At 36.4% G+C, this 22,846-nt stretch overlaps 1 protein-coding gene across 19 annotated transcripts in view; it reads left to right on the plus strand.

Moving 5' to 3' along the window:
* DNM3 (dynamin 3) overlaps positions 1 to 22,846 on the plus strand; it is a 576,969-nt gene that overhangs the window by 402,776 nt on the left and 151,347 nt on the right. For 16 of the 19 annotated variants that reach the window (NR_146559.2, XM_017000979.2, NM_001350206.2 and 13 more), the window contains one exon: positions 9,300 to 9,409. The exons of the other annotated variants lie outside the window; for them this stretch is intronic. Coding sequence is in view for 15 of the 16 variants with exons in the window: in XM_017000979.2 (XP_016856468.1) it covers positions 9,300 to 9,409 (110 nt within the window). In the remaining variant the exon portion in view is untranslated. The remainder of the gene's footprint in view (positions 1 to 9,299; positions 9,410 to 22,846) is intronic. 19 annotated transcript variants of the gene reach the window in all.

Here is a 22,846-nt window from a genome sequence, read left to right on the forward strand (position 1 = left end):
ATTTGGGTTGGTTCCAAGTCTTTGCTATCGTGAATAATGCCGCAATAAACATACGTGTGCATGTGACAAAATTGACAAATGGGATCTAATTAAACTAAAGAGCTTCTGCACAGCAAAAGAAACTAGCATCAGAGTGAACAGGCAACCTACAAAATGGGAGAAAATTTTCGCAACCTACTCATCTGACAAAGGGCTAATATCCAGAATCTACAATGAACTCAAACAAATTTACAAGAAAAAAACAAACAACCCCATCAAAAAGTGGGCAAAGGACATGAACAGACACTTCTCAAAAGAAGACATTTATGCAGCCAAAAAACACATGAAAAAATGTTCATCATCACTGGCCATCAGAGAAATGCAAATCAAAACCACAACGAGATACCATCTCACACCAGTTAGAATGGCAATCATTAAAAAGTCAGGAAACAACAGGTGCTGGAGAGGATGTGGAGAAATAGGAACACTTTTACACTGTTGGTGGGACTGTAAACTAGTTCAGCCATTGTGGAAGTCAGTGTGGCGATTCCTCAGGGATCTAGAACTGGAAATACCATTTGACCCAACCATCCCATTACTGGGTATATACCCAAAGGACTATAAATCATGCTGCTATAAAGTTATAACTTCTTAAAAGCAATAAACACCAGATTTTAGTTTTCAACAGCATGTGGAAATATTATTCTGGTATTCTCAATATTTGCATAGCCTCTCATTATTCTTTGATACTTTGATTATTGTATGAGTCAGTCATCATCTCTGAGTCCTTGAACTAGGCAAAGCACTATACCAGCCCAGGAGGGGGCTGTTCATATGTTCATTCAGCAAGTGTTTGCTGAATGTCTATGATGCAACCAAAACTAATAAGGAAATAATTTATTTCCTCAAAGAGTTGATGGTTTGGTAGCAAAGTCAGCACACAACTACAGAGTAACAGGGGAGCAAGACACATAGAATGATTAACAACGATAATAAATAAAGGTAATAATAGTAATGGAGTTGCTTGTTTCTTTAGGGGTTTATCTTGTAGTTGGAAAGGCAGAGCATAGACACACTTAGGTGAAACATATAGACTCTTAGAAAGTAAGACAAAAGCACAAAGTGACAGTGTAAACCAAGCACAGGGTATCCGACCAGGGTGCGAGGAACCAAGCACAAGGGATCAGATGGGAATGTGAGGAATCCTGGCAATGGTGGAGGAGGCCCTTGCCATGCTGGCCATGGTGGGAGCTTCTGATGGCTCTAGAGCACCACAGGCTTGACTGAGATTTGGTGGACACATCAAAGTGCCTGGTTGGGTAGACATGGTATCACAGGAGTAGTTTGAATGAAAGGTTCAGTGAACTGCACTCACATTTCTGGGAGACGTGTTTGCTCAGTTAGAAGTCACAGGGAGCTAGATAGAGCTGCTCCATGTAGAGCACCTGAAGACAGAGGGCAGACCATAAGGTTCCAGCCAGACGGAGGTCAGGGCAGAGTCCTGCCACTGTGGGAACACTTGGAGGATAAGGCTGCCAGGTGGACCGGCTAGGGAACAAGGATCTGGAAATTTAGGCCTGTGTTCTAGTCATCCACAGGTGTATTAGTCCATTCTCACACTGCTATAAAGAACTACCTGAGACTGGATAATTTAAGAAGAAAAAAGGTTTAATTGACTCACAGTTCTGCAGGCTGAACAGGAAGCATGACTGGGAGGCCTCAAGATATTTACAGTCACGGCTAAAGGTGAAGAGGGAGCAAGCACCTCTTTCACATGGTGGCAGGAGAGAGAAAGAATTAAGGGGAAAGTGCCACATATACTTTTAAACCATCTGATCTCATGAGAATTCACTCATTACCACAAGAACAGCAAGGGGGAAATCCACCCCCATGATCCGATCACTTCTCACCAGGTCCTTCCTCCAACATTGGGAATTACAACTAGAGATGAGATTTGCATGGGGAGACAGAGCCAAACCCTATCAACGGGCATTCCAGGGGTGTCTTAGAGGCAATACCAGGGTGAGAAGATGAGTTTAATGGACAGGTTTCCTCATAGCCCCACTTGCTGCAATCAGAGGAGCTCCACTTTTTAATCTATTTAATATATAGGACTTGTCAGAATTTTTTTTTAATCAACGGATTCTACTGATTAAAAAAATAAGTCTGCAATTGTGATGGGAAAAGACAAGAAGGCTGGAAAATGAGACCTATAATACTTTTAGAAAAAAATGTAAATTAAGTCTGAGCTAGATAATCTCTTTTGAGGCAAAGAGAAGCAGAGTGGCAAATAGGCAAAGGTATTTCTAGTGGAAGAGATAGTTTAGTCAAAGATGAGAAGATACAATTAGAAACGTTCTGTGTGGAAAATGAAAATGCATGGACTTTCCTGGGAAGCAGGAATCCCATGGCTGGTGCAGTGGGTACAGTGAAGAGTTTGAATTTACTCTGGCGGGCAATCCAGTGTCTCAGAAAATGAGGTGTGGGTGAGGAGCATGATGAATATGTATGGTTACATAACTCTGTGTCAGTTACTCAGAGCATGAAGGGCTTGGATTAATATATGGAGCCATCACATTTTTCTTGGCTTTGGTCCCTACCCATAAACCCAGGATAATGTCTCCAGTTTCCCTGCTTGCAAACATTCTGGCCACAATGCATCAAAGAAAAAAATGAGACTTTGTTAGGAAAAATATTGATCAACATTATTATCTCTTGAGCAACAAGCAAATTATAATAATTGAATACTCCATGGTATCTCATGAGTTTTCAGTATTCTGCAAAAACATTTATCGTCCCTGGGTGAGGAATCTTTTTAACTTGGACATATCTATGCACTACTGTCCTGTCTTTGGACTGAGTTCTTGGTGGCATAGTCATTCTGTTACTCCTCTGTTGGCTGGCACAGTGGTACTTCGCGTGTGGTCTACGCACGTTTTTGGTGCGGATGTGTCAGAGAAATGTTCCATTCATTGCCAGGAGAGTAGTGTAGCACTGAGAGAGGACAAATAAATATCAGTTTCTCAATAGGAGAAAAAGACAACAATTAGGAGTATAAAATATGGCAAATACAATAATAGAGAACACACATGGAATGTTATATGAGTATAAGAAGGGGGTGGTAAAAACTAGGAATCTTTGTTCTAGTGAAGCATAAGTACTCTCTGCAACATAGAATATTCTGTTAGTCTGTCATAGAACCTGTTTGTAATTTGATTATTTGATAGCTTGAGAAAGATTGTCATGTTTCAGAATGTTAGAGCAAGCAAGTGAAGAATTTAACAAATATCACATATTTAAAAAATTAATTTGGTGCCATTAGTGCATATTTAAAAAACATATTTGGTGCCATTAGCGGCTTTTTCGTATGTTAATATTTCTCTTTATTACTCTATTATTATTTCTTATTTATTTATTTATTTATTTATTTATTTATTTATTTGTTTATTTTGAGACAGTTTCGCTCTTGTCACCCAGGCTGGAGTGCAATGGCGTGATCTCGGCTCACTGCAACTTCTGCCTCCTGGGTTCAAGTGATTCTCCTGCCTCAGCCTCCCAAGTAGCTGGGATTACAGGCATCCACCACCACACCCAGCTAATTTTTGTATTTTTAGTAGAAACAGGGTTTCACCATGTTGGCCAGGTGGTCTCAAACTCCTGACCTCAGGTGATCCACCCACCTCAGCCTCCCAAAGTGCTAGGATTACAGGTGTGAGCCACCATACCTGGCCTTTATTCTTATTCTTATTCTAATATAATCTCTTTTAAGTTCTACCATTTTTGAAAACTTTTCATCAGTTCATATCTCCTAGGAGCAGAATCTATGCTTTTTTTTGTATGCTTTTGAAGTATATTGGATTACCACAGTACATTTATGTGTTAAAGGTTTGTATGAATCAAATCAGAGATATTGGTTTAGGTTAGTAAAACTTCATCTAACAAACTGTATGATGCTAAGCAAAATACTGTAAGTTAATTTAAAATCAATCTTTGAAGCATTAAAACTAAGTGTTTTTATTCACCTCTGGTTAATTTTTACACAATGGTCTAGGTAGGCCCAGCATGTTGGGGTTTTATTTATTATGGATCATCAGCAGTCAATGTTTATTAAGCAATGTCTGTATATACACCAATGTAATAACTGTTACATGTAAACACAAAAGAATGATGACATAATCTTTACCCTCAAGGAACTTCCAATCTGTGCTTGAAGAGGCAAGCTAAACATAAATAAAGATTGCCATGCTAGATCGCCTATGACAAAAATTGTGGAAAATTTGAGAGTTATAGAAGAAAAAGGTCTATGATGTGCTATAATCAGGAGGTGGCCTTGAAATAAATTTCAAGGCCACAAGAACCTGCCTTCTTTCAGAGAAGGCGTTCCTGGCAAATAGAAGACAACACAAAGGCAGAGATAGAAATAAACATGGCAATCAGTCTAGACTTTGTAAAGATTTAGTAGTCAAAAGCAGTGTCTGTCAGTTAAGCATTTCATATAGTTTTCTTCATAGAATTTTTACTTGATTATCATATATATGTGACTATCAAACATCTTAATCAACACCTGGCTTTGGTTGTCAGACATTTTCAAATCAATTCAATAATATTTATAATATACACTGTAAGAATTTTTATGCCTAGCATCATGCTAGGCATTATATAGAAACAAGGAAGGACTCATAGTCTTACCTTTGAAGATGTTGTTGCTTTAATAGAAGAAAAGGTATGAACAAATACAATAATTAAAGCTGTCATCAAACCAAGGCTACTCAAATAATTCAAGTTATGAAACTCCCTATGTATAAATTGCCACGTGAATAAAGTCCTCCCAGTCCTTTGCATATGCAGGTCCTTTGCATATGCAGGAGCTATTCCCCCACACACCTGATCCTCTGCTCATACCCATTGTATCTCCTTCTAGTGCCTAAGTTATATTGATGGTGCTCTGCCAGCTAGAGACCATCACTGCGCACTTGCCAAGCCCATACCTATCTCTCATTGACTCTCTGGTTTCCTTTCAAGGTCAGCGAGCACATACTGTAGTCATCCCATAATTCCCACCTTCTACCACCTTGGTTCCTCTGCCTTTTACTACTCATTGTTCAGTTACTTCCACCTCAGACCCCTTTCACACAAAGATGCACCCTTTTTGGACCTGATCTGTTTCTTCCGTTTCTTCTAACTCTTGCCAAGTGAATTCAGGGAAAGAACACTACACTGATGCTCTCATGTTCCCTCTCTCTTTGAACAAAAATATCTCTATCATCCTGGATGCCTCCCATAGAAATATTGCTGGCGACCCTCCTGTATTGAGGAAAGATACTATATTTAAATATGAAGAAAAGAATGGTGTTGAATCAGTGACCTCAGCCTCTGAAGCCTTTGAAAGTATGCAGAAGTTCTTTTATGAATCTCTATTAAAAAAATCTTTCTCTAGAAGTTTACCAGTGCTTCCTTCAAAATGTCTACTCAAGATAAAATGTTTAAAATATCAAATTTCATTTCTTATTTATTACAAAAAAATGCTGTAAATTTTTGTTTTTCTCCATAACATAGAATATTATCTGTTAGTCTGTCATGAAACTTGTTTCTAATCTGATTATTTATTAGCTTGAGAAAGAATGTTATCTTTCAGAATGTTAGAGCAAGCCAGGGAATAATTATAACAAATATCACATATTTTAAAAATAAATTAAAACAACTTAAACAACTATATTGTGTAAGCTTATATAAACTGCTTAAACAATATATAAGCTACTTAAACAAGAGAGTTGACTGAACATTCTAAATTCCAAATGAGCAACGTTCACATAAATTTTCAAATGTAATGCACTTATAAATTGAAGCTGTCTCGTATAGTTTGAAATGAATAGAATAAATAATACCTATTATATTAATATAAGGGAGAGAGATGGGAGGTGACAGAAACAGACAAATGGTTACAAGTTTGAGAAAATCTTTTGCACAGAAAGTAGAACTTGAACTGAACTCTGAATACTAAACATTGCTATGTTAGGGAACTATTGAAGGAATATCTCAAGTTGGGAAAAGATGTATTTGGAAAAGATGTATTTGGTTGAAACAGAAACTTCTTATGGAGGAGAAAAGAAGACATTGGCCAATCAGGATTGAGCCAATTTGTAAGTGTTTTTAAACCTCTTCACATTAAAGAGGTTAGTGGATTTTCTTCCATAAACAATGGAAAGCTATTGAAAGTTCTGAAGGATTGCAATGAATTTGACAAAATCGTTTTCAAAAATCATCTTCTCTGGTGATGTTAGAGAAATTGGAAGGCAAGAGACTAGATAGGAGACCATTTGTGACCACATGCTTGTGAGATGCCAGGGACCTGGAATAATGTTGTGGGAATGTCAAAGGAGGGGAACTAGGACAAACTCTTCAAACACGATGTGACAAAGTCTTGAAGTAATAAAGGAGGCAAGAAAAGACGATGGGTCAGAAATGATAGTGAGGTTTCAGATGGGGTGACAGGGAGAATGAAGGATAAACCTGATAGCAGAAACAGGGAGGTCAGAAGGAAAAACTGTTTGGATGGATGAGAGGAAGGAAAGAGTTAAGTACATGGGGTATTTAGTGCTATCAGTAGAAATTTAATGGAACTACATATGTCATTTAAAATTGTCTGACAGCCAACTTCAAAACAGTAAGAAAAAACAGGTGAAATTATGTTTAATAATGCTTTGTTTACCCCCAATATATTCAAAATGTTATTTCAACATATAATCAATTAAAAAGTATTACCAATATAGTTTACATTCTCGTTTTAAGTTTTTGAGATCTGGGGTCTATCTTGCATTTCTAGCTAATCCCAGTTGAGCTACATTTCAAGTGCTCAGTAACTGCCTGTGGCTAGTGGCTACCATATTGGGCAGCACATTATTAGGCAGTCATAGAACTGACAAAAAAGATTTAGCACACTTCTTGATTAAGATGATGCTAAGACTGTATTTTGGAAATTATAATTCTGTATATTATTTCTCCTTCTCTATTTCTTTTGTTTATTTTAGCTATTTTAGATTCATGATGTTCTTTTAGCAGAACATCATTCTTTCCCCAAAGCACCAAGACTTTTTAGAAATATCCATGATATACTTTTTTATTGCCTAGAGTTGCTGCTGTCTCATTTAATTCTCCATTTGACTTACAACTTTAATAAATACATGTCTGAATACATTTTCTTCTTCCTTTGTCAGTCTTCAAAGTTTTGATTATGAAATAATTTAGCAATGTGTCCTCAAAGCCTGGGATAAATGACATTTAGTACTTTGGATATGAGGACCATTTTTCATGTTCCCCAGGCTGCATATGTGTGTGTATTTCTCTCATGTTTAATATCTGGCATAAACTTGCTGGAGTTTTGGTCTTCACGATATGCTAAAGAATGCAGTATAAAAGAGAGCCTACTTCTATAGAAAACAAGCCAAGGACATTGTGTTCCATCTTTACAATGAAATTCAGATTTCCCATTAAAAGGCAAATCTATCATTTCAAAAGGTTGAATAGGATGGTAGTTTAAAAGAATCCAGCTGCTTAAATTTAGGGCACTGAAAAACATTCAATAAAAAAAATGTTCCCTGGGTCTCAAGCATTTTCATTTGATTATGTATTGGATAGATTTTCATTAGGCCTAGAATTTTGCCTCTTAGAATTCTGTCCTAAAATAGTTTGACAACTGTTTTGAGAAAGCTGGACTCAACTATGGTATCTCATTTACGATTAAATTATGTATTTGCTGTTTAGAATATTCTTGTGTTTGATAATATATTCTTAACTTTTGTTGTAGAAATATTGGACTAATTTTGCAGTGCTTTACTTTTTCATGTTTATTGTTGAGCCTCTCTCACTCCTATTTAGTTTCCTTTATGTTTCTTCTTTTCTTTGGAGACATTGTCAGAACAGCTATTTTGTTCTCTAAGCGACTTCCTTCAATGTTTTCAGTCACCTGTTCACACGTGACTTTATTTTTGTAGCCAAGTAGAATGCTACCTTTTTGCTATTCTAATGTGCTCTGCCCAACTTTTTTCTGATTAATTTAGGAGTAGGAAGTGGAAAGGTGGGTGATACTCCCTACAATACAACATGTTACCCACAAACTGATTAGGGAGCACAGAAGAGCTCTATGCTATGCAGCTGAGCTACAAATTCTTAAGGAAGTAGTCTATATGCTGTAGGAACAAAAGGATTTATGTCAGACATATTTGTATGATGCACGTATTTCCCATGGGCATTAATAGTCGTTTATTAAAAGTTATGACTAAGTCTCCATTCTCTCCAGCTCTGGACTTTAGCCCTGCTCTCTTTCACGGGTAACACCAGAGATGTAACCTGGGACCATACAGAGGACCATGGTTAACAAGGGCAGCGCTTGTTATACCCCTGGTAATAGGTATTTACTAGGTTTCTTAAATTGAGTATTTGGCTCTCTCCTACTGGTTGTTAGGCATTTTTACATGTAAATAATATTGCCCGTGGGCCAGTCCCTAAAAGTAAATGTTTCCAATAATTTTTTGGCATCCAATGTTTTACTAACACTAATTTGGTCGCATTTGCAGACCTTACCTCTTCAATGTTCATATTCTTCCTAAACAATTGTTTATTTTGAAAGAGAGTTTGTTCTAGTCAATATCAGTCCACTTCTAATGAATTTTTCCCCAAAGAGCTCAACAATTTTATGGAATAATTCTTTTTCAGAATTCATATTTTATTCTAGACCCAAATGAGCAAGTACTTTTTATGCTTTATCATAGTTTATGGGGGGTATTTCATACTGGGGTCCTGTGCTTCCACTCCCCTGCCAACACTGGCTATCAAAACTGCTTAGGCTGCAAATAAAACAAGAAATGAAATCCATCTGGCATTTCTCATTGAATTAGGACCAGAACATTTTTGTTAAATATTAACAGATGGCTAAAGTCTTAATATCAAACTAACATTTAAAAACATCTAAAAGGACCCACATGAGGGGGAAAGGACGGAGGACCATGTGTTTTCTTCATCTCAGAGCCCTTCCTGTACACCATTCCCCCCGCCATTTTTCCAACCACATGTTGAGAATCACTGGGGCCTCCTATCTCTAATAACTTTTATTCCTTAATAGCTGGTATCAAAATGGCATGTGATGATATTATCAAGATAGTGTAATCAAGTGTTAGCCAACTCAGGTGATGTGTTGCCATTGGCATGCCTCAAGATCTTTTATTAAAGTCAATTTTCTGTCTCTCCTCTCCTCTCCTCTCCTCTCCTCTCCTCTCCTCTCCTCTCCTCTCCTCTCCCTCTTTTCTTTCTCTCTCTTATAATAGGAAAAAGAAAAGAAGTACATGCTTCCCTTGGACAACCTGAAAGTTCGGGATGTGGAAAAGAGCTTTATGTCTAGCAAGCACATCTTTGCACTCTTTAATACAGAGCAAAGGTAAGAAATTGAAACAGTTCCTGTCTTCAGATTTTTTTCCTTGAAGTTCTACATGATTCAGAGATCATATTTGAAAATAGTTCCTTTGGTCACACCTTGAAATTTGTCTGCTCTTCAGTTTTCCTTTCATTTATTTTGTATTTTTAAATTCCACCATGGGTTATGGCTTCAAAATATAAAAACTCAGACTAAAAAAGATCTTCAAGTGTTAACTAATTATTTCTTGCTTTTCCACCTGGCATGAAAATAATTCTTCATCCATTTTTTTTTTCTTTTTGAGACGGGATCTCACTTTGTCATCCAGACCGGAATACAGTGCTATGATTATGATTCACTGCAGCCTCGAACTCCTGGGCTCAAGCAATACTCCTACCTCAGCCCTCTAGAGTAGCTGGGACTACTGCGTGCATGCCACTGTGTCTGGATAATGTTTTAAAAATTGTTTTGTATGCAGTTGACCTCAAACTACCTGGGTGCAAGAGATTCTCCTGCCTTGGCCTCCCAAAGTGCTGGGATTACAGGCATGAGCCACTGCACCCAGTCTGTCTGTTCTTAAAGCTACATTTTGTTACCTTAAAGTCTTTCTTGTCCCAATATATTGTTTACATACTTACAAACTACTCTATGATAATTTTTAAAGTATCTGTCTAACATGAATGGATATCACTTAAGCTCTTCTTGAAGAGCGGACAAATTTCATATACTATGACTAAATTCAGGGAATAGAATTATTCAGTTATGGCAAATAAAAATGTATAGTATTTTACAGTTTTTCAAAGTGCTCTCTACATTCATTGTCATTGGTTTTTGTAACAATTGCCTTTGAGATCAAAAGGATACAGTTACAAATAAGAAAGCGTAGGCTCAGGGATGCTAACTCACTTTCTTAAGGTCATAAAACTGGTGCATGGGGGAGCTGGAACTTGTATTAGGACTTCCTCTAAGTACACTTTTCCTTCCACTCATTTTCCATTGTGTGCTTATTTTGTTCTGCTGTTCATGTGCAGTATCAAAACTGTATTTTGAGCTGACCATCACAGAGTGCCATGATCTTCACTGAAACTTAGCAGTAAAGTTAAATAAGCAAATGGAGAGGTAAGAGAGGATGGACTAGAGAAGTATAAAAGGGGTACAACTAGGAAAGGATAATAAAGGAGAGTTTTTCCAAATGAAAATGTTATAGGAAAAAGCTAATTAAAATTTGTGTGAGTCAGTTATTAACACAGTAAGTCATTAGGTAACAGAATCTAATTTTAACCCATTTTTTGAGGCTGCCTTTTATCTTTATTTAGCAATGAATGAAGTTACTTGATTAGGTTCAATGACTGGCCCAGGGTCAATCACACAGTAAATTAAAATAGCAAAAGAAGACGTCTTCCTACATTCCCAGTCAGTTGCTCAGAGTGACTCATAATACAAAAATACTTAGTAAAACCACAAAGCAAGCCATTTAAAGAATCGACAGGAAAGAAAATTAAGTACAACTAACTCCCCTACCAAATATTCAAATGGGATTTTTGAAGACAGTATTATTTGAGAGCAGCTTATGAAAACACACTGAAAATAATAAAGAATAAAAAGGTTTTCTAGAGAGAATAGTAGTGAGTCTGCCACACTGCAGCCAAGCTCAGTACTAGTTTACATGCCTTCATCAGAGCAGCAGAGACTCAGGAGATTCTAAAGCAATCATCAGAGGTGTGCTCAGCCTTCTTGCCTAGATGCAGAGTGGAACAGGTGACTGCCAAACAGGAAGTCAAACAAAATTGAATCCATGGTCAACCTGAAAAGTTCAGGTTATAAAAAAGCTGGGTGTAAGGTAAAAACAAGGCTATGGTAGACTATCATTTTTCATAAAATACAACTGTGGATTTTAAAGACAGCAAAAGTCACCGAAATAAGGAAACTGTGGACTTTGAAAAATCTAGATATTTTGGGATCTTGGAGTTCTAAAAAGGTATTGAATTCTGCTGCCACTTCTCAGTGACCTCAGTGAGTATATAGATGTACCCACATTGGCCATTGTCTTCTCCTTTGAAATGCTGATTCCTTTAAATCATTTTTGTGCTGGCAAGGACCTCCAGTGCAATGTTGACCACAAGCTGGAATCCTTGTCTTATTTCTCATTTTAAGGCTAATTTAAGGATGATTTTAAAAATTGTATAGTGAAATACCTTTTGATAGATGTCTGATATCAGGTGAAGATTTCTTGTGTTTCTAGTTACTAAGGTTTCTGTTTTCATTTTTAAATCATGCTTAGGAGTTGAATTTTATCAACCTCTCCACCTGGAAGATTGTATGATTCTTCTTCTTTAATCTGTTCATGTGGTGAAATATACTAATAGACCTTCTGATGTTAAACCATCCTTTGTCTCCTGGGATTAAATTTAGTTAGGTCACAATGTGCTATTCTTTATTATGAGTTCTTGGTTTAAGTTTGCTAGTATTTTAGCAAATGCTAAAATGAGTTAGATTGGCCCATAAATTTCCTTTTTATATTATTTCTGCCTGGTTTTAATATCAAGGTTCTGTTAGCTTCATAAATTGAGGTGAGAATAAGTCCTTATTGTTCTTTGGAACCCTTCATAAAAGGTAGGGATTAACTATTAGCTGACTGTTTGGTGGAAGTAACCTGTAAAATCATCTGGCCCTAGGAAGTATTTTTGGTAAGTAGGCTTTTAACTAGTGATTGAATATATTTAATGATTTCAGATTTATTTAGGTTTTCTGTTTGTTCCATGGATCCATTTGAATAATTGTATTTTTTCTAGAACATTGTCCATTCTGTTTTGCTTTAAATATATTGCACCAACTATTTCTTAATATTTTATTTTTCTAAGTCTCTGTTGTATCTGAAATTTGACTGATTTTTATTTCTAATATTAATCCTTATCTTTTTTTATGATCACTCTTGCTAGAGTTTTGTGTCTTTTCAGAGAACCAGTTTGTGGCACTTTTGAACATCTATTGTGTATATTTTTTCTATTCCAATAATTTCTGTTCTCTTAATTATTTCCTTCCTTGTATTTTCTTGTGTTTACATTTTAGGTCTTTTCAAACTTCTTAATTTAGATGTGTAGCTCATTAATTTTTATCCTTTCCTTTTCTTATATATCTGCATATAAATCTATAGATTTCTCGCCAGGTAGTGTTTAGCTGCTTACTACAATTTTTGAAATTTAACAATTTTATTACCATTCAGTTCTGTTTCCTATTCTTCATCATGTTTTTTTTTTTTTGAGCTATTTAAAAGTGTGTTTTACATTTTAGAATGCAGGGAATCTTATTGTTTTGTATCATTGATTTCTAACTTAATTGTATTGTGACCAAATAATATGGTCTAGTACATGATGTTAATAAATATTTCACATATACGTGAGAAGAATGTACATTTACTAGCTTGGAAGTGTAGGTTCCATGAGAGCTGATTGGATTATGCTTGTTAATTGTATTTTGCAATGTCTATAGTCATTATCTTTTCTTCATCTCAAATAATTCCAACATTCAGCAAGTATATATTAGGCAGCTGTTATGTGCCAGATACTGTTCTATGCTTAAAATACACCTGTGAATCAAATAGACAAAGACAATTAAACATTTTAGATACTATCTAGAAAGGGGAACAGGCGGGGAGACAAATAAAAACTCACAAAGAATCTTATTTTATCACATGAGCATTAAAAAGGTCGCTTTGTGATTGTGAGCTTGAATAAGCCTGCCAATTTTTGCTTGAGGCCAATCTATGTTATTAGATTCATACAAATTTAGTATTGTATTTTCCTGGTGACTTAAAAAATAATTTTGTGACAGCCCTCTTCATTCCTAATAATGCACTTTGCCTTAAAATTTATTTTGTCTTATGTTAGTATAGCTACACTAACTTTTTGGTTAATATTTTTTATTGATACATAATATTTATACGTATTTATGGAGTACATGTGATATTCTATTACACGCATAGCATATGTAATTATCAAATCAGAGTATTTAGGATATTCATCATCACAAGTGTATATCATTTATGTGTTGAGAACATTCCAAGTCCTCACTTCTAGCTATTTTGAAATATACAATATATTGTTGCTAACTATAGTCACCATACTCTAGTATTGAACATTAGAATTTATTCCTTCTATCTAACTGTATGTTTGTACCCATTAGCCAACCTTTCTTCATCCTCTCTCCCCAACCCCCACCAACACACACACACACACACACACACACACAGACAAACAGACACACACACAAACACACACACACAAACATTATTTCCACCGTCTGGTATATATCATTCTACTAACTACCTCCGTGAGATAAACTTTTTAAACTCCTATTTATGAGCAAGTACATGCAATATTTGTCTTCCTGTGTTTGGCTTACTTGACTTAACATAGTGATTTCCAGTTCTATCCATGTTGCTGCAAATGACATGATTTTATTCTTTTTTTATGGCAGATAGTATTCCACTGTGTAAATATACCACCTTTTCTTTATCTATTCATCCATTTAGAACATTTAGGTTGATTCCATATCTTTGCTATTGTAAATAGTACTACAATAAACATGGGAGCGCGTGTGTCTCTTTGATATACTGATTTCCTTTTCTTTGACTGAATACCCAGTAACGAAGTAGTTCTAGTTTTAGTATTTTTAGAAATTGCCATACTGTTTTCCATAATAGCTGTGCTGATTTACATTCCCACCAAGAGTGTATGTTCCCTTTTCTCCACATCCTCACCGCCATCAACAGATTAAATCTCATTACTCATTATTGGTTGGTTCAGGTTTTTTATTTCTTTCTGATTCAATCTTCGTAGGTTGTATTGTCCAGGAATGTATCCATTTCTTCTAGGTTTTCTAGTTTGTTAGTGCATAGTTTTTCATAATAAGCTCTGATGTTTTGTATTTCTGTATTAGTTGTAATATCTTTTTTATTTCTGATTTTGTTTAAGTCTTCTGTCTTCCTGATTAGTCTTACGATTGTCTTATTGATTTTATTTATCTTTTTAAAAATGCAACTTTTCATTTGGTGATCTTTTGTATTGTCTTTTTCATCTCCATTTCATTTAGTTCCACTCTTATCTTTATTATTTATTTCCTTCTATTAATTCTGGGTTTTGTTTGTTCTTACATCTCTAGTTCCTTGAGATCCATCATTGTATTGTTTATTTAAAATCTTTCTATTTCTTTTGATGTAGGCAATTATTGCTATAAACCTTTATCAGCACTGTTTTCACTTTATTTCATAGGTTTTGGTACATTGTGTTTTGATTTCTGTTTTTTTCAAGAAATTTTTAAATTTTCTCCTTAATTTTTCTCTTGACTCAATTGTGATTCAGGAGCATATTTTTCACTTTCCATGTATTTGTACTGTTTCCAAAATATCTCTTGTTATTGATTTCTGTTTTTATTCTATTGTTGTCTGAAAAGATACTTGATATGATTTTGATTTTTAAAAATTTTTTGAGATTTGTTTTGTGTCCTACTATATGGTCTACCCTAGACATGTTCTGTGTGCTGATTAAGAATAATGTTTATTCTTTAGCTGTTGGATGAAATGTTTTGTAAATGTCTGTTAGGTCTATTTGGTCTAATATGCAGTTTAAATCCAATGTTTCTTCGTTAATTTTCAGTCTAGATGATCTGTCTTATGCTTAGAGTGGAGTGTAGAAGTCCCAACTATTCCTGTATTAGAGTCTTTCCCTTCAGGTCTAATAATATTTGCTTTATATATCTGGGTGCTCTGGTGTTGGGAGCACACATGAGGATACAATCATTACAATCATTATATCCTCTTGATGAACTGACACCTCTTTCATTATATAATAATTTTGTCACTTTTTATTACTTAAAGTCTGTTTTATCTGTTGTAAGTATAGCTACTCCTACTCACTTTTGAGCACCATTTACATGGAACATCTTTTTCCATTCCTTTATTTTCAGTTTATATATGTCTTTATAGGTGAGAATTTCTTGTAAGCAGCATATAGTTAGATCATTTTCAAAAATTCATTCAGCCAGTCTATATTTTTTAAGTGCAAAGTTTAATCTGTTTACCTTCAAGGTTATTACTGACATGTGAGGGCTTCTTATCATTTTATTACTTGATTCCTTATTGTTTTTTATATCCTTTTTTCCTTTCTTTTTCTCTCATAATTTATCTTTGTGGTTTGTTGGCATTCTGTAGTGGTTACATTTAAGAATTTTCCCTTCCTTGTTTCTGTGTTTGCTCCACTAGTGGTTTTTATATTTGCATGTGTTTTCATAATGGTAGTTATTATTCTTTTGCTTTTGGGTGTAGGTCTCCCTTAAGTATTTCTTATAGGGGTGGTCTAGTGGTGCTGTATCTCTTAGCTTTTGCTCATCTGTGAAAGACATTATATCTCTTTCATTTAGGAAGGATAATTTTGCTGGGCATAATATTTTTGGCTAGCACATTTTTTCTTTTGGCACTGTGAAGATATCATCCCATTCTCTCCTGTCTTGTTAGGGTTCTGCTGAGAAATCTGCTGTTAGTCTGATGGGGTTCCTTTATATAGGTGGCTAGATACTTTTCTCTTGCTGTTTTTAATTTTTTTTCTCTTTGTCTTTGATTTTTGAGTTTGGCTATAATATGCCATGAAGAAGACCTTTTCAAATTGTATTTATTTGGGGATCTTTGACTATATAGGAATGTCTAAATATTTTGCTAAGTTTTGAAGTTTTTAACCTATTATTTTATTAAATAGGTTTTCTAATTCTTTCATTTTTTTTCGTTGTTTCTTGGGACACCAAAATTTGAATATTTGGATGCTTTATGATGTCCCATATGTCTTGAAGGTTTTAATCTTTTTGTTGTTGTTGTTTTTATTTTTGTGTGACTGGGTTATTTCAAAAGATCTGTATTCAAGTTCTGAGATTCTTTCTCCTGCTTGTTCTGTCTTACTGTTGAAGGTTTTGAATGTATTTTGTATATTATTCAATGAATTCGTCAGTTCCAAAATTTCTGCTTTTTAAAAAATTATATCTCTTTGATAAATTTCTCATTCATATCCTGAATTGTTTTTCTGATTTCTTTGTATTGTTTTTCAGAATCTTCTTTTTTTCACCCATTTTAAATATATACTTTAATGAGTTTTACAGATATGTACAGTTGTTCAGCCATTAACACAAGATATGCAACATTTCCATGATGCCCCTTCTTGTGTCTCTCTGAGCTTCTTTAGTGATAGTATTTTTAATTTTTCCCTAGGATTTAATGAATTTCCCCTCCCTCCCTTTCTTCCTTCCTCTCCTTCCTTCCTTCCTTCTTTTGAGACAGGGCTTCACTCTGTCACCCATGCTGGCGTGCAGTGATTTGATCATAGCAGCCTCTACCACTGGGCTTAAGTGATTCTCCCAACTCAGCCTCCTGTGTAGTTAGGACTATAGGCACATGCCACTATGTCTGACTAGTAAATTTCTTTTTATTGGGATCTGTTGCTGGATAATTATTGTGTTCCTTTCAAGGTGTCAAATATTCTTGCTTTTTCATCTTTCCTGTGTTCTTATGTTGATATCTACACATCTGGTATAACTGTTGCTTCTTCTAATTTGTTTGAAATTGCTTTTGAAAAGGAGAACTCTTTTCTGACATGTATCTATGGTATTGGTTGGGTAGGGTACTTTGCTTTTGAATCTGACTATGCGTAGTGGTGTAGTCTCTGTATGACTTCTTCATTTGTAGACAGCATCAGTGGTGTCTGAGACTACCTTGGTGGCTTAGAATGCAGTTGTTATTAGTAGAGGCTATGAAAAAGTTTTGCTGAGTACTATAACACTAGGTGGGCTAGTCTTTAGGCCCCAGGCCAGTGTGCACTGGTGCTGGTGTTGGTGGGTCCAGGAAGGCCAATTCTTGTGCCTCCAGGTTGCTTTCTCAGATGCTGCTAATGGCATCAGTGGGTCTGGCAAGTGAACAGGTTCTTAAGCCCCTGGGCAGTGGATGTGGCATGGGCAATGGCAGTAGCAATGGTGGAACATCCATCTGGGACCCAAGTGGTCCACCCCTGTGGTAGCAGTGGCTGCAAGAGGTTGGGTGGGCTGGCCCACAGACTTTCAGGTGGTGTGTATGGTTGGGTGCCAGCTGTGGTGGTAGTGCAAGTTGAATATGGCTGGTCTCAGACCCTGGGAGAAGTGCTTAGGTGCCACAGGTGGTCAACTGGCCTGGATGATCTTCAGGCCCCTGGAAAGTACATGCAGGTGATGCTCAGGCCCCTGGAAGGTGTGTATAAGTGATGCCCGTGTCCCTGGATGGTATGCTCAGGTAAAGGGGGAAGGAGTGGAGCTGAGCCAGGTGGACTTGCTCTCAGACCCCTCAGTGGTACTGGCTATGGTAGGCAGAAGTAGGGTGATCCCCAGACCACTGGAAAAATGCTTAGGTGAGAGCAGAAATGGCTATCTGTAGCCCTTCTACTGGGAAGCCTATGGTTGCTTTCCCTGGGTGGAGCCATAAGCTGGGGGCTGGGAACATGGGCTTCATTTGTGTCTTGGCTCCGCAGCAGCTTAAAGCAGTGGTGGTTGTGGGCAGTGGCATTTGTCCTTGGGGGCATATGAAAAGGTGTAGTTACCCCTCTGCAGAGGGCCACAGGTAGGTATGATGGGCATGGGATCACTGTCTGTGGCTCCTGCCTTAGCCCTGGCAATGGAGTAGAATGCAGCTTGGTGGGGTGGGGGCTGTGCTCTCAAAATGGCGTATGCAGCAGTGCCTTCATGTGGTCTCCAGACAGCTCTCTATGTTAGTCTCAGAACTTGTAAGGATTGAGGTGTTCTCTCATGGCTAGGACTGTAGGAATCTCCAGCAGAAACATGGTCTACTGGGGGTCTCTCATTCACACTTTCCCCACATTAAGGAGCCACTCCAGACCCTCAGCTGATCCAGCTGAACTGTTTCCCTCTCCTTTCTTGCTTTTGGTGCTTCCTGTCACTTCTCTGTTGAATTCCAGTGTTCTCTCTTAGATTATCTACTCAAAGTATGATTATCCACTCATTATTTTGGTTCTTTTCCATGGAAGAGGCAAATACCAGATTGATCTAGGCAGCCATCTTGAAGCCCCCTCTTTGTATTTGAACAGGCCATGATATACTTGCGTGTCATTTTTCTTTGCTAGTGGATAGACTTTTTTTAGTCTGTCTTTTCTCTGAGGATGTGACCTTTGGAGGTTCCTGGATTCACCCAAGATCTTATTATTATTATATTTTGTGGACATTAAAATCAAAACCTTTTGGTTACTGAAACTGATGCCATCCAGTGGCAAAAGTTAGAAAAGATGTATTTCCTCTTTTGCGGGGAGGAGGCAATTGATAATTCTTTTATTTTGGAGCTTTGGCATGTAAAATAATGTTTTTCATATGTCTTATAGGAAATAGTTTTTATTCTCTTCCTGCAGTTTTGGCTGAAATGAAGTGGCCTTTCATTATCAATAGATTGTAGAAACAAAAAACTATGTTCCTGATTTCTTCTAGGGGTGAGGACTGTGATAATAGTGAACTTAGAAGGTCAACCTTTGATTCAGTGTGTATACACACATGAAAGTTTTACAAACTGATTAGAGAGAAATAGCAATAATTTATTCTCTCAACAAGTATTTATTCTGTTATCCATTCCAAAGTATCAAAGTAACAAAGTATCTGTTATCCATTCCAAAGTATCCGTTCCAAAGTATCAATTGGAATGAAATTCCAATTTATTCTGTTATGCATTCCAAAGTATCAATGAAATGTATTATCTATCCTGAATGTCAGTATTGGTACTGTGTATTATTCTGTTCTCATGCTGCTAATAAAGACATATCTGAGACTGGATAATTTATAAAGAAAAAGAGATTTCATGGACTCATAGTTCCACATGGCTGGGGAGGCCTCACAATCATGGCAGAAGGCAAAAGACACATCTTACATGGTGGCAGGCAAGAGAGTATGTGCAGGGGAACTTCCCTTTATAAAATCATCAGATCTTGTGAGACTTATTCACTATCATGAGAACAGCATGGGAAAAATCAGCCTCCATGATTAAATTACCTCCCACTAGGTCCCTCCCATGACATGTGGGATTTATGGGAGCTACAATTCAAGATGAGATTTGGGTGGGGACACAGCCAAACCATATCATACTCCAATTAAAATATAAGATGTTTTCTTGTTTTGAGAACATTTGCAATCACTAGTGTGAGTGTCATACATTTATTTTTCATTGAACTTAAAACAGAAGGACTATGTTAGAAAAGAAGAAAATGAAGTTTAGTTGTGAGATTATTATACATGAAATTAATGAGTTATAGTGTGTAAGGTAACATCTAACTAGATTACAGGATAGGGTATTCCACTGCAGTTCTGAAGTGTCAGAATAGCAGACAGCATAGTATTTAGCCACAGCAAAAGAGTTAGCATCATAGAAGGTGACTTTCATTAGGTCATGGCATGAATTGATGTAGAGGACATAGAAAAGACTACTTCAAATGGGAAATAGTATTAGTCAAAGCCAATAGCAAGAAATGTTATTTAATCTGTTGCTAGTCTCTTCTGATGAGAAGAAGCTAATTTCAAAGGCAAGATGAGCCCTAGTGACAAAAATAAAAACATTCCTTTTTGTTTCCATAGAATTTATTGAACTGGACTTACCCATGTCAGTTTATGTATTTTAATCCTCTGTGTTGTGGTAAAATCATGCATCTTTCAAAAGCCCATATGCTTAGCATGATTCTATCAACTATTCTTAAATTACATTCTTTTCACCACTTATATTGATTCTGAGGTTATGTTCCTAATTTGTTTTCTCTTCTGAGACAAGACCTTATAAGAAAATAAGTGTTCTCATTCCTTGCCTTTAGATGAGGTTACGCTTGATTAATTTAGAATAGATTTTCTAAATGCCTCCATTACTTTGTAATTTTTATCCCTGTCCTCCACATCAGTGTTTTGGATCAATTTGTTTATCCATTCAGCAGACCTATATGAGATGCATTGACTTGGAGCTAAGAGTTTCTGTTTGAACACCAATGCAAGTTTAAAATATCATGGCTTTCCGGGGGTTTCCAGAACCTTATAGATAATCTCGTCGGTCTTTCTTACCTCACAGGTTAAGGAGCTATATCTATAACAGTTAAATGCCTTCCTAATGTCACAAAAACAGTTAATGAGAGAACCAGAACTACAACCCAGGTCTAATATCTCCTAACTCAAGGCTGTTTCTGATACTGTAGTTTAGAGATTAACTATGGAATAGGAATTCTGCCTAAGACTTTAACTGGAATTGCTCCTAAAAGATCAGCAATGAAGAGATTTTTAACTTATTGTGTAGGGATTTCAGTTTACTGTAAGATCATACAAATTTCCATGGAATGCTTTTAGTCTCATTTTTTAAAGCCCTGCATGGAACTGACCATTGCTCCTGCTACAGTTCCTGACAAACTTTTAGTCATGGCTATTTGTATGGCAACATTATTCCTAAGAGCTCATTCAGTTGCTATTTCAGCTTTCCACTATATAAACTTTAAAAGAGTTACTCTGTAGTCCCCCATCATCAGGTGTGTGGGAATTAATACATTTAACATCCTTTAAAAAAAAAAAGGCTTCGGTGTCCTGGTGAATTAATATAATCTTTACAAGCCAGGTGACCAGATTTTTGAGCCATTTTAAACAGTGTTTCAGTGCTAAGATTTATAAATGAAAGGATTTGTTGCTAGTTGCAGTGACTTCAGCACTTGAGGAGAGCGAATTTCACACTCAGACTGGTTTAGCCTACATAAACTCCCGGTAAGAATACCCATTCCTGAGCCTTCCTCTGGCTCTTTTAAAGATGGCATCATAGATATCTGGGGAGACTAACATTGTGATACTCTGTTCTCACATTAATTGCTTCACCTAATTATAAACTGAAAGTTAAATTTTAGTTAACAGACTCCTAAAGTTCACTGTGGCATGGTCTAAACTAAGGATTCAAATGCTCCTCCAGGTTTTTGTTCTATTTGATTTTGTTAGAAATGCCATGTTTTCTCTGATAGAAGTATGTCTAGATAATGGCCTCACTGTGCTTCTCTCGGCTCTCCCCAGGCAGGCGTTCAGTTTTAAGGTCATGCTAAGGCCCATTTGGTTCAAGGTATGTCAGCTTTGGTAGCCAACAGAGAACTGTTTCTGTCCAGGGGGTTGTAGGGCAGCCACATGGTATTTTCTGAGCACTCCTTGGGGTTGTAGAGCCTTGTTTTCTTTTAAAATAAGGCATTCTTTCTACTTTGTAGCTTCAATTCAGGATATGGTTTATCAATATTACCAAGTGTTCCAATTCACCTCCTCCCCCTTTTCCTATAGAAAGTGATTTTAGGATGTTTCACTACTCCACTTAGTTCCCAGCATATTGCTGACACTCAATAAATGTCAAATAATGCCGCAATATAGTTAGTGTGTGCTCTTTAGGCATTCTGAAAGAATGACTCTTTATTTGCATTGTTGAGTAGTGGTATATTTTTCCACTTGTTAGCTGGAAAGAAATTAGAGTCAGGTTGTTCATTTATATACCTCTATGGCTACATTTCTATACTAAGACATGCTCAGAGTTTAAATTTGTTTGAAAAAGTGTTTAAATGAATATTCTGGGTGGTATACAATGCTTTGTCTAAAAGATCATGTCTCAATTGGATATGGTTGAGTGTCGGATCTACATTAAAAAAGGAACAATTACTCTTCCATAAATAGGGATGGCAGAGACTCATATGTATCAGAATTTCAGTAAGGTAAAAAGCATGTAATATTCTGGACTCGGGAATGAAATACTGTGTAAGGAACACAATTCAATTAAGCTTGTTTATGCAACATAAACAAGACACCAGGATAAATTATTTTATTTCATTTTTATCCCACTTTTGTCAAAACAATGTTTAAGACATTACTTCTTGCCTCACAAAATGCTAAGTGAGAATTGCTTGTCTTCTAAATACCCTGATTCAGGAAGGTTTTTATTTGTCAGATGATTCAGTCAGTAATCAGTCCCAACCCAAGTAGAGAAATGAAATGTATGTTATCCTATCCACCCACACCCCCCTTGGAGTGTAGGTGGGTCATCTTTCCAGTAGAGGTGTGTGTAATACCCTCTATGAGTATCTGGTGGAGGGAAAAAATAAATCAGTTTGAGAGTAGAAACACTTTATCATTCTCAATTGACCTAGAGTTCATTGTACTGTTTCTGTAACTTTACGTGTGATATAAAAATTTGGTTTTCCCCATGCTTTATCCTTAGTCAGAAAAAAAATCCCACTAGATATGAGACCAATTGACACCTGATATATTGTTGTCCAGAGGCAAACACAAGTGAACTGGTGGCACTCAGGCATGAGTAGTGTTACTAGGGGGATCACCTGAACAATGAGTTTAAGAAATGGAGTGTGTTAAGTGAACATTTTAATACCTTATTCTTCCTTCTGGTTTTAACAC

Source organism: Homo sapiens, chromosome 1 (genome assembly GCF_000001405.40).
Source record: "Homo sapiens chromosome 1, GRCh38.p14 Primary Assembly".
Lineage (NCBI taxonomy): Eukaryota > Metazoa > Chordata > Mammalia > Primates > Hominidae > Homo > Homo sapiens.